Source organism: Homo sapiens, chromosome 5, assembly GCF_000001405.40.
Source record: "Homo sapiens chromosome 5, GRCh38.p14 Primary Assembly".
Classification (NCBI taxonomy): domain Eukaryota; kingdom Metazoa; phylum Chordata; class Mammalia; order Primates; family Hominidae; genus Homo; species Homo sapiens.
This window is the reverse complement of record NC_000005.10, coordinates 168,335,964-168,348,122: the sequence shown is the minus strand read 5'-3', so window position 1 is coordinate 168,348,122 and position 12,159 is coordinate 168,335,964. Positions and strand designations below refer to the sequence as shown.

The following is a 12,159-nucleotide window of genomic DNA, read 5'->3' as shown; positions in this document are numbered from 1 at the left end:
GCTGCCAGTAACACCCATCTCGGGAATAAAGGAGCTCAGGTATGCCAGGTGTTTGCACAGTGCTTGCATACAACAGGTGCTCAATACTCTGTTATCATAGCAGAAATCTCTAATAGTCACACTGCCATCTCCTGAGCATGACTCCTCTGACCCTTCCAACAGGGCAGATCCCAGCTTGATAAGCCCACAGCCCATCTGCTTCTCCTTCCCAGCTCTTCACAATGACTTACATTCTTTCTCTGGAGATAGTGACCTCTGCAAGGGCAGCGATCAGGACTGTTTAGAGCACTGCAGTATACCCAGGGGACAGAATCATTCTTGATACATAATCATAAATATATAGGGATTTTTTTTTTGGACTGACCTTGCTCGACAATGACTCTGTAAAAGAAAAGAGGCCTCCAATTTCACTCGGGCTAATAAATGAAATAGATCATCACATAGATTGCTCTTCACCTTCTTCAGGGCCATCCCTTACACCAAGAGGGAGGGTACAAGAGGGAACCCAAGCGCTGTGCCCAGTTGAGGCCACGAGCTGACAGAATGACAGAAACAGGGTTTCAGTTCTGCTTTAGCAGGGGACCCACAAACACTTCTTAACAGGGTGAGCATGGACTTCACACGACCTTTTCTTCAATATCAGCATCTCAACGAAAGGTCCAAAGAAATCCTAGAGAAGCAGTCAGGATTAGGGCACAGAATTTCAAATTCCCTCTCCAGGCAAGGCCAGGGTGATCAACTGAAGGTGGATCGGAAGTAGGGAAGAGACCCTTGCGAGCCTGGTGAGCTGAATAAGCAGTATCCCTGGAACTGCCTCCTTCTTGAGGTCTGCCCTGGAGGGCACATGACTGACAGCGGTTAACTCGAGAACTCAGGGCATCCCAGGCCCCAGGACACAGCACCCATCTACAGTCAGGGCAACTGAACTGGAGAGATGCTGGCTTTAGCCTCTGAGGAGGACCCTTGTCACTCAGTCGGCTGGGGACATTGCCAACGTCTGGGGGTGACATCCAAGGACCCTATTAGGAAAGTGGAGAGCAGCCCAGAGTGTGAGCCCAGTGTCACAGACTCAGAATGATCCAGGAACCATCCAGGGAAACAATGCCTGCAGAAAACAGCAGCTGCAGGTGTATTTCCTCCCCTGCTCAGCTCTTCCTGCCCTGCATGAGCAAGACCCTAAGACCCTCAAGAGACCCTCAGAAAATCTGTCCAGTGCCCCAACATCAGAATGAAGGCATCTGGGAAACAGGTCGAAACACAGTGCCTGACACCAACCAAACGGCTCCTCCTCTAATTGTTTTACATGGAACCAAACATCCATTGTCACATTAAAAAATAAGACATGTCTGTCAATCATTTCTAAGCCACCACCAACTTACAGAACAATCTCACTCACAGCATACCAAGCATGGGCCCTGGGAGGTCCCGGCTTTTACTTTTTAACTAATTCTAACTAGTCATACAGGTTTCTCAACAATGGCTCACCTGAATTCCTCTGCTCCTAGTCAAACAGGAGGTATTCAAATGAGTCTTGTATTCTGCATGCATTTATTTTCTCAACAAGCATTTCAGGCACGCCTACTAAGGGCATCGGTGTGTCAGGCACTGTGTTTCTACCTGTTCCCCAGATGCCTTCATTCTGATGTTGGGGCACTGGACAGATTTTCTGAGGGTCTCTTGAGGGTCTTAGGGTCTTGCTCATGCAGGGCAGGAGGAGCTGAGCAGGGGAGGAAATACATCTGCAGCTGCTGTTTTCTGCGGGCATTGTTTCCCTGTATGGTTCCTGGATCATTCTGAGTCTGTGACACTGGGCTCGCACTCTGGGCTGCTCCCTGCTTTCCTAAGTATCTTGTATCTCCTTACAGTGTTTATACTTGCAAAACACAGATTTTCAGCCTAACTTCAGACCTGCTGAGATCAGTCCTCAGCAAACCCTTCTCCTTCCTTTCGACATCAGACATAGGTACCCGATTAATCTCGGTGGGCTTCAGGTGGAGGGAGAGCCAGGGCTGGGCATCCCAATCAAACACTCTTGGGGGTCCCTCCTGGGCCATCTGATTCTGTTATGAAATGGGGCCAGTTGTTTCTCCCTGCCCTGGTGGTGTTGGACAGAGCCTCTCTCACCACACAGGGTCCCCGCAGGCTCGCACTGGGGAAGACTGAGACTCCAATAATTTAATTATCTTATCAAGGGTCACACAGATTGTACAAGTAGAAGCTGGGATTCTAACCCAGCCACTCTGACTCCACAGCTTGCTCTCTTAATCAGGGGAAAGTCAATGACTGGATATGTATCTTGATTCCTGCACTTAGATGATCACTTAGAGAAATAAGAGTCATCAAAATATAAAAACTATGAGCTGAGTTAAAAAATTAACCCATGAATTGAGTACTTATAATAAAATCAATGCCTATACAAATATTGCTCCCCACTTAACATTAGTGTCTAGTCCATGCCATCAGTATTTACTGTCAACATCTTTATGGGTCTGCTGGATGTCTTAGCATCTGACAAAGCAATGCAAGTACAATCCAAGTCAACTGCAAGGGAAATCACTAATATTCTAAAAGAGGCAGGATTTCATGAAGTTTGTGAATGTCATGTTGAATAACTACTCAATCACACCCAAGGAATGGCTGAGTTACTCAGGTAACAACTGAAAAGGAGAAAATCCATTAAGATAAAGAAGAAGAGACAACAGGCCCTTTAAAAGGGAAGGATTTCAGGCCTGGCATGGTAGCTCACCCCTGTAATCCCAGCACTTTGGGAGGTGAGGATCACTTGAGGTCGAGAGTTCGAAACCAGCCTGGCCAATATGGCAAAACCCTGTCTCTATTAAAAATACAAAAATTAGCCAGGCATGGTGGTGCATGCCTGTAATCCCAGCTACTTGGGAGGTTGAGGCAGGAGAACAGCTTGAACCCAGGAGGTGGAGACTGCAGTGAGCCAAGATTGCACCACTGCCCTCCAGCCTGGGCAACAGAGTGAACCTCTAAAAATAAAATAATAAAAGAGAAGGATTTCAGTGATACCAAGGGGTTAAACAAGGCCACAGGAAAACAGATAAAACCTTCAATATTTTGTAAAAATGACCTTCCTTATGAGCCTGGTGGGAAAGTCAAACGAGAAGAGAAAAATGTCCTTTTCTGCTATTCTCATTGTCTCCAAATAATTACACAAAAAATAAATCAACACTTTGTTCAAACTAAGAACTGGGGCATGGTTGCAGTATGTTGTTAAATACAGTATAAATATACTTTAAAATTTTTAGTTTCATTTCTCAAAATGAAGGCCTGATCAAATCTTTTCCCCCCAATATTTACTATAAATGTTTGACTTCTATTTTAAGTAATTTCTCTTCTAAATAAAACCTCCCCTTGGAATATGAACCCCCTGCACTGCTTTGTCAAGCAGCCCCTGCTTCCTGCTGTGACAGACGCAATGCTAAGGCTTGAGCAAGAGCACCTGCTTCAGAGATGCTCAGAGTTTCTTCCCTTCACAGAATTTTCCCATCTACTGTTTCATCTGATGTCTTCAAGAACTCCATGAGTTAGTTCAGGAAACTGTGTACTATTATCCCACACATATACATCTACTTTGTAGCTTACAAAGCTCTTATGACATCTGCTATCTCATCTTGACCCACAGGACAATTCTGGAGGAGAAAAGTAACACTCACATTCTACAGATGAGAAAACCGAGCCTGAAATGTAAAGAATGTGCCCAAGACCCCATAACTCGCTGTTGGAAGCTTTAGGATTAGAAGCCAGGTTTTCACCACTTGTTCTTTCCTGTGGGCTACCCAACTCTCTCAAGCACAGGGAAGACAAATGAAAGTTCTGCAGGCTAGGAATCATTTTTTCAGGCCAGTGAATTCTTTTTAGAAGCTATCTGCAAGGCTGCCTTAAAACACTCAAACATATCTCCTTTTGCAGAAACAGTCCAAGGTATACAAGCAAAACAGTGACAATCAATACATTCCCATTGCCCCATTATGACTGTTCTAGGTGGAAAATAAGGATCAGAAGAGTTCCATTCCAAATGTTCAGAATGGATAGGCCTTGCAAGCTGCTGTTTGGGTGAGCTGCATGATAGCTTGTCAGCTACAGTGGTTCAGATGCAGCAGTGTTCTCCAATGTGTAACTGAGCCGAGGGGGAAGCACGTGAATTATTAAGAAATGTCATCAGTGGAAGACTGAGTGGAGGTATGGTGGGGGAGACATCTGAGAGCCCTGAACCCCTGAAGACTAGGAAAAAACATAAACATCCCAGAAGCAAAAGTTCAACTTTTTTTTTTTTTTTTTTGAGACATAGTCTCACTGTGTCGCCCAGGCTGCAGTGGCATGATCTCAGCTCACTGCAACCTCCGCCTCCTGGGTTGAAGTGATTCTCATGCCTCAGCCTCCCAAGTAGCTGCGATTACAGGCACACGCCACCACGCCCAGCTAATTTTTGTATTTTTAGTAGAGACGGGGTTTCACCATGTTGGTCAGGATGGTCTTGACCTCTTGACTTTGTGATCCGCCCACCTCGGCCTCCCAAAGTGTTGGGATTACAGGCGTGAGCCACCACGCCCGGCCTCAACTCTTAATATATGTCAGCCCCTCCTTTGCAACCAGCTCTGCGTGCTGCTGCTGACAAGCAGCATGGTGTGGAGGCATGGGATGTCCTAGAGTCCAGCCAACCTGAGCTCTGTGATCTTGGGCAAGTTATTTCCCTTCTTTGAGTGTCAGTTTTCTTCATCTATTAAATGGGGTCATCACTTTCACTTGTCCTGAAAAGTATACAAGATAATACACAGTTAGCACAGTGCCTGCCCCACAGTAAACACTCAGAATGTTGAAGCTATCATGAATAAATTCAAATGCAGGGCACATGAAAGCACTTAATGAACGTTTGGCCCCGTCATCAAGAAAGTATTTCTGTATCTCCTAGCACAGTGAACTTTATGACCTTTAAAACCATGATTATATGGTCTGTGCAAATGTGAAAGGGAAGTAAAGTTGAGAAAATTGGGAGGTCCATCTGCGCAATGAAAATGCATACAAACCCCCCAGGCTCTTAGGGCTGGATGGTGGTCATAAAACAAGAACTCCAAGCTTCTGGGAGCCCAATCCTTCCTTGGAACCTACAAATTGGATGGAATTTTTTAACACTGGAACTGGAAACACCCCTTGCTCCCTGCCTAGTGCCCAGATACTTGGTGGTGGGCACTTGGATAAACCCTACTGCCCAGAGTGTGGAACAGCTTGAGGGGCCCCCACTGTGCTCTCAATCCGTCCACAGTATGGGGTCTGTTCTCTGCAGCACTTGCATCCTCCGGTTCTTTGCTCAAGACTTTCCAGTGGATCCCAGTCATTCATGGGTTTCCTTAGCTGGGTCTTCATGGCTCTTCATCTACCCTTTGGGAGTTCTTACCCTTTCCATGAACCCCCTCCTCCACACAGTGTGGTATAGTCCCTGCATACCTTCCCACCTCAATGTCTTAGTGAGTCATCCACGACTCTTCAACCTATCCCCCACCACATCTGTTTCTGCCTTTCTAGATCCTACAAAGCCTTCAGGGCCTCCACGAAGTCCACAGAAATCCGGTCAGCATGAATTCAACCTCATATCTAATGTTACTGCTTCAAACTTCTATACATGTATCACTGGCTGAACTGTGAGCTTCCAGGAGGCAGGGAATGTGCATATACTTGTGGGTGTGCATTCACCCACAGCACCTAACACTGCCACTTGGATCCAGCCAAGTGCCTGCCTGCCTAGAGGCTGCCTAATTTTTGCGCAATAGCTCTACCTTCCATGGTCCCTACCCTGTTCAGCTCCATCAGCTCCGTCAGCTCCTAGAACCTATTACCCTGATCTTTATGTTTTCCCTCTCCCTTCCTCTGCTCCAAACAATTCAGAATAAAACCAGGCCAGTTGGAGGTGAGCTGTGTCAAATACTCCCTGTATCTGAAAGTCTTTCAGTAAGTCCCCCCAGTGCTCCCCATTCACTTCCACTGAAACTTCCCCATGCCTATTCAGTGCCAATTTCAGTGCCTGAAGATGCCCTTGGAACCAGCGCTCTGGACATGGAAGCTGTTTCCTCCCATTACACATGCTGGTGTCTGACACAGGCTGCAGGCTTCACTCTGGGTACCGAAGTCCACTGGCTAGGGGAAGGGGCAGCACAGCTCTAATTGTGTGGAGTGATTACAATTAGCTACCAATGCTCTCGGCCCACCTGGGGAAATGGGGTGGACACAAAAGCTGCTATCAAGAGGTAACAGAACTTTCTTCCGTTATCTGTGGGTGAATCACCAGGTCCTTTTCATGGCTCACTTAAGGGGCCAGGGAAGGACCAGCATCTGAACACCTGGCAGGTGTGTATCTGGTGACCCAGGCCTTACTTTTTCCAAAATCTTTTTTTTTTTTTTAAATCAGCAAATGACACCTGCACCGCTTTGAAGAGGAATGATATTCTCCCCCATTTGAAAGGCCAGCTACCTAGAGGAGAGGAGATGAAAAATGCCATCCTGGGTTTTAGATCTAAAGCATAGCAGCCTTTTGATGTTGAAAATGAGAGGCAGGGATGGGAATTTGGGTCTCTCAGACTGGGACATCAGTGATCTCTGACAGCAAGATGTGTTCCTGCCTGGGGCTGGAGAGATTTTTCTCAGTTAGCAGTGTCCCTAGGACCCATTATCCATGGAGCCTTGTGCCTATGGGGTGCTGAGTAATAGATGAGTAAATGCTTGACTTCAGAAGCCTGCATACTATACTGGCCGCACCCTCGAGTCTTGCATCCTTTAAAGCTGCTGCTTTCCTCCATCTCTGCCTGGTTAGCACTTACATGTCCTACAGATCTTAGAGCAAGCACCTCCTCTCCAGGGAAGCTTTCCTTCCCTGGCCACTCTGATGATGACAAGTCCCATAGCCCATTGGTCTACCTGCCAGAACCTTGCAACTCTCGACTGTAATCCTTAACGCAGCTGTCATGGTAGTTATTTCCCGTGTCTTCGATTATTGCGCCATGGTCTCCCTGTAAGTTTCACAAGGACAGGGACATGTCTGCTTTGCTCTCCCCAGTCTCTCTGGCTCCTGGCACAGTAGCTGCTATAAGGAAGCGTTCAGGAGAGGTACTGATGAACAGCACAGACTTTGGAGGCAGACTACCTGAGTTCTAATTATGACTCTGTTACTTATTTGCTGTGTGACCCAGGCAAATAACTTAAACTTTCTGTGCCTCAATGTCCTTATTTGTAAAACAAGGAGAAAAATAGTCCCTACCAGATATCCAAAAGAAAGAAAAATGTATGTACATGCAAAAGTTTGTACGTGAATGTTCATAGCAGCATTCATTCATAATAGCCAAAAAGTGAGAATAACCCAAATATCCACAAACTGATGAATGGATAAACAAAATGTGGCATATCCATACAATGGAATATTATTTGGCAATGAAAAGCAATGAAGTACTGCTACATGCCTCAACATGGATGAAAGCTGAAAACATCATGCTCACTGAAAGAAGCCAGACACAAAAGGTCACATATTGTATGACTCTGTTTATATGAAATGTCCAGGATAGGCAAAATTATAGAGGCAGAAAGTATATTAGTGGTTGTCTAGGGCTGGGGGGAAGTGAAGATTGGGGGATGACTGCTAAGTGGTGCAGAGTTTTTTGTGGGGAGGTGATGAAAATATTATAAAAGTGATTGTGGTGATGGTTGCACAACTCTGAGTATACTAAGAGCCACTTAATTGTAAGCTTTAAATGGTTGAATTGTAATCGCAGCACTTTGGGAGGCTGAGATAGGTGGATAACCTGAGGTCAGGAGTTCAAGACCAGCCTGGCCAACGTGAGGAAACTCCGTCTCTACTAAAAATACAAAACTTAGCCGGGCATGATGATGCATGCCTGTAATCCCAGCTACTTGGGAGGCTGAGGCAGGAGACTCACTTGAACCCGGGAGGTGGAGGTTGCAGTGAGCTGAGATTCCACCATTGCACTCCAGCCTAGGCGACAGAGCGAGACCATCTAAAAGAAAGAAAGAGAGAGAGAAAGAGAAGAAAAGAAAAGAAAGAAAGAAAGAAAAGAAAGGAAAGAAAGGAAAGAAAGAAAAGAAAGAAAGAGAGAAAGAGAGAGAGAGAAAGAGAGAAAGAGAGACAGAGAGAGAGAGGGAGAGGGGGAGAGAGAGAGAGAAAGAGAGAAAGAGAGAGAGAGAGAGAAAGAGAGAGAGACAGAGAGAGAGGGAGAGAGGGAGAGAGAGAGAGAGAAAGAGAGAAAGAAAGAAAGAAAAGAAAAAGAAAGAAAGAAAGAAAGAAAGAAAAACAAAAAGAATGGTACTTGTCTCATAGTCTCGTTGTGAGGGTTAACTTAAATGTACTATTATCTGTCAAGTGTTTGTTACCTAGACTATGTAAGTAACTGAATACTCATTACACCTTGACTATGTGCTGGATAGTCTGCTAAGTTACAAACAGTACCTTATTTCAACCTCACAGCCCAGGGAAGGAAGTACTGTATTTTTCCCACTTTACAGATGAAGAAACTGAGGCTTACAGAGGGTAAGTAACTCACCCAAGGTGACAGGGCTAGTAAACGGCAGAACCAGGGAAAGCCACCCTTGCCCGAGCCACCACATATACAACAATGTTCCCTAAACCCAGAGATCCCTTGATTTGAAGTCAGAACCACCTGGCAAAAACAAACACGACATTCTCCTTAACATCAAATGACTGCACCCTTCACAGCCCCAACAGCGCCTCCACTGGCATTCTTTCCCCCAAGGCAACTAGCTAGGGGGAAGGAAGAGCTCCCTCCCTCCCCAGGTCCCAGAACCCCACCCTCATCCCTCTGCTCTTAGAGTCTTATTTCTACCAGGAGCCCAGCTGGAAAAGCTCCTTGTCATGTCATCCCATTTGTCCTTACCCCTGCTGAGGGGACAACAGCTTCCCTGGGGCCTTCAGTCCCTAAACAATAGCCAGACCGTTTCTCAGCACCTCATCATTTTCTTTTTCAATTTTTAAAAATTAGCACATAATTGTACATATTTTTAGAATACACAGTGATGTTTTGATACATACAATGTATAGTGATCAGATCAGGGTAATTAGCATACCCATTATCTCAAACATTTCTCATTTATTTGTGTTGGGAACATTCAATATCCTCCTCCTAGCTATTTGAAACTATATTAATATGGTTAACTATAGTTTTTTAGTGCTATAGAACACTAGAATGTATTCCTCCTGTCTAGCTGTAATTTTGTATCCTTTAACAAATCTCTCCCTAACTCTCCCTTTGCAGCTTTTAGAATCCCCTGTTCTACTTTTTACTTCTATGAGATCAACTTTTTGTACCTTCCACATGAGTGAGAACATGCAGTGTTCAACTTGCAGGAAAAATCCCTTCTGATTCATACTCTCAAAATGTTTTAAAAAGTAAACTCAGCATCCCAGCACTTTGGGGGGCTAAGGTGGAACACCTGAGGCCGGGAGTTCGAGACCAGCCTGACCAACATGGAGAAACCCCCGTCTCTACTAAAAAATACAAAATTAGCCGGGCGTGGTGGTGCATGCCTGTAATCTCAGCTACTCGGAAGGCTGAGGCAGGAGAACCGCTTGAACCCGGGAGGCGGAGGTTGCAGTGAGCTGAGATGGCGCCTCTGCACTCCAGCCTGGGCGACAAGAGTGAGACTCAATCCCCCCCCAAAAAAAAAGAAAAAAAAGGAAACTCTATCCTGTCACTTCTAAGTTAAAGGCTTTCCACTGGCCTCCCATTGCATTTATATTTACTTATTTATTTATTTAGTTTTTTTTTTTTGAGGCAAAGTCTCACTCTGTTGCCCAAGCTGGAGTGCAGTGGCGCGATCTCGGCTCACCACAACCTCCGCCTCCCTGCTTCCAGTGATTCTCCTGCCTCAGGTTCCTGAGTAGCTGGGATTACAGGTGCGTGCCACCACGCCCGGCTAATTTTTGTATTTTTAGTAGAGATGGGGTTTTGCCACGTTGGCCAGACCGGTCTCGAACTCCTGACCTCAGGTGATCTGCCCACCTTGGCCTCCCAAAGTGCTGGGATTACAGGCATGAGCCCCTGCGCCTGGCCTTCCCACTGCATTTAGAACAAACTGCACACTCTTGCCCAGCCCTCCAGCCTCCTCCAGGTCCTGGCGTCTTCTCCAAGGCTCACTCTGCTCCAGCACCCGCCCTTCTTTCTCTCCTCATCCCTAGCACACTGTGACCCATGCCAGGAATGCCATCCTCTTCCTGCATGGCTAGCTCCTGGGTTTGCAGACCCCAGTTTAACTGTCACCCTCTTGTGTGACTGAGTCATCCTAGTGAGGTCCCCTCATTTATTCTCCACCATGGCACCATTTTATTTCCTTCATGGAACTTACAACAATTGGCAATGATGCATTTCTTTCTTTCTTTGGTCATTGAATTTCTGTCTCCCTTACCGTCTGTAGCACAAACACTAGACTATAAGATCCATGAAAACAGAAACAGTGTTTCTCTTGTTCATCACCAGGCCTGCCTGATGGATGCTTAACATATCTTTCAGGGCCTCCTGGCCTTGATCTTCACTGTGAGACCTGTTGACATTTTGGGCAGGATGATTCTTTGTGGCGGGGGCTGTCCTGTGCACTGCAGGATGTCCAGCACTATCCCTGGCCCCTAGCCATTTAGAGGCACCCTCCCAGTTGTGACCACCAGAAATGTCTTGACATTGCCAGCTGTTTCTGGGGGGAGGGGTGTAGGAAAGAGAGGAGATGTCAAAACCTTCCTAGTTACACCGATGGAGCTTTTGAAAGATGAATACGCCTGAAGTAAGGAAAAAAAAGAATTCATGCAAAAGTACCACACAGTTGGAGAGTGGGGTATATGGATGCCAAGACAGGCTGCTCCCCACTACGTGTACCAGTGGGAGTGGGGAGAGAGTTACAAAACCAGGTCCCCAATGATTGCAGGACCCCAACGATTCTGCCAGCATCAGTTGGTGTAGATGGCTGGGCCGCTGGTATGAGGAGCACAGGGTGAGGTTCCTTTTTCTTAGGATGTCACTTGGATCTTTATACCTAGGTGAAGGTTGTTTAGCTCAGTGCCAGTTTCTCACTGCGGTCATGGTACATTAAAAACAGCTGATGCTTTGCAATCAAGATTCGTAATATCAGCTCACATATGTTGAGCACATACACCATCTAGCTTAAAAGCAGGATCTGAAGTCGGCGTCACCACTTTCTCCACATGCAATAGGAACTAAAGCACAGACAGGGTAGGCATCTTGCTACAGTCACACACTATAGACCACAGGTGCAGTGATTCCAACCAATTCCGTTTAACTCTAACTGTCCTGTATTAACTACTAATGTATCTGAATTTCCCAGTGAGTGACAATACCAAGCACACAAGTAAAATGACGAATTTCGTCTTTCTTCCCTACGGTGGAGTCAGTGTTAAACATACAACAAGGAGTTCTGGGGCACAGGCTCAGATCCTCCTGGCCGGGGTCCTGAGGAGGATGGAGATCACAAGGTATTGTTTTTTTTTTTTTTTTTTTTTTTTGAGACAGAGTCTGGCTCTGTTGCCCAGGCTGGAGTGCAATGGCATGATCTCAGCTCACTGCAACCTCCGCCTCCTGGGTTTAAGCGATTCTCCTGCCTCAGCCTCCCTAGTAGCTGGGATTACAGATGCCTGCCACCATGCCCAGCTAATTTTTTGTATTTTTAGTAGAGACGGGGTTTCACCACATTGACCAGGGTGGTCTTGAACTCCTTACCTCATGTGATCCACCCGCCTCGGCCTCCCAAGGTGCTGGGATTACAGGCGTGAGCCACCGTGGCTGGCCGGGTATTGTTTTTAAAAAGGAGAACGTGCCTTGGCTCTTCTGCTGGACCCAAAATTACAGAAGCAAAGATGGCTGATCAAACTGGAAAGGCCTTTGGAAATCACCTACAGCTGAGTTTCTCAAATTGGGTTTTGTGGGGCCCACATATCCAGGTGGGCTGAGGGCAGCAGTAAGTGGGCGGTTAAGGGAGGGGTTTGCATACCAGGGTTCAATGAGAAGATTCCATTTCAAGAAATGGTTCCATTGCTAAAACAACATTTGAAAACCTCTGACAACGTCCAATGTCCTGCTTTTATAGATGAGGAAACGAGGACCAGAGAGGACA

General features: G+C 46.2%; 1 protein-coding gene across 17 annotated transcripts in view, besides 1 other annotated feature; it reads right to left on the bottom strand.

The window, feature by feature from the left end:
* The window catches only part of WWC1 (WW and C2 domain containing 1), a 180,659-nt gene that overhangs the window by 124,181 nt on the left and 44,319 nt on the right, over positions 1-12,159 (bottom strand). The window lies entirely within an intron of this gene.
* Positions 451-500: a silencer, noted in NCBI's record as "silent region_16597". NCBI's record gives its function as "represses an Ori minimal core promoter by ATAC-STARR-seq in GM12878 lymphoblastoid cells {active_cell/tissue: GM12878}" and the evidence as "EXISTENCE:reporter gene assay evidence [ECO:0000049][PMID:35858748]".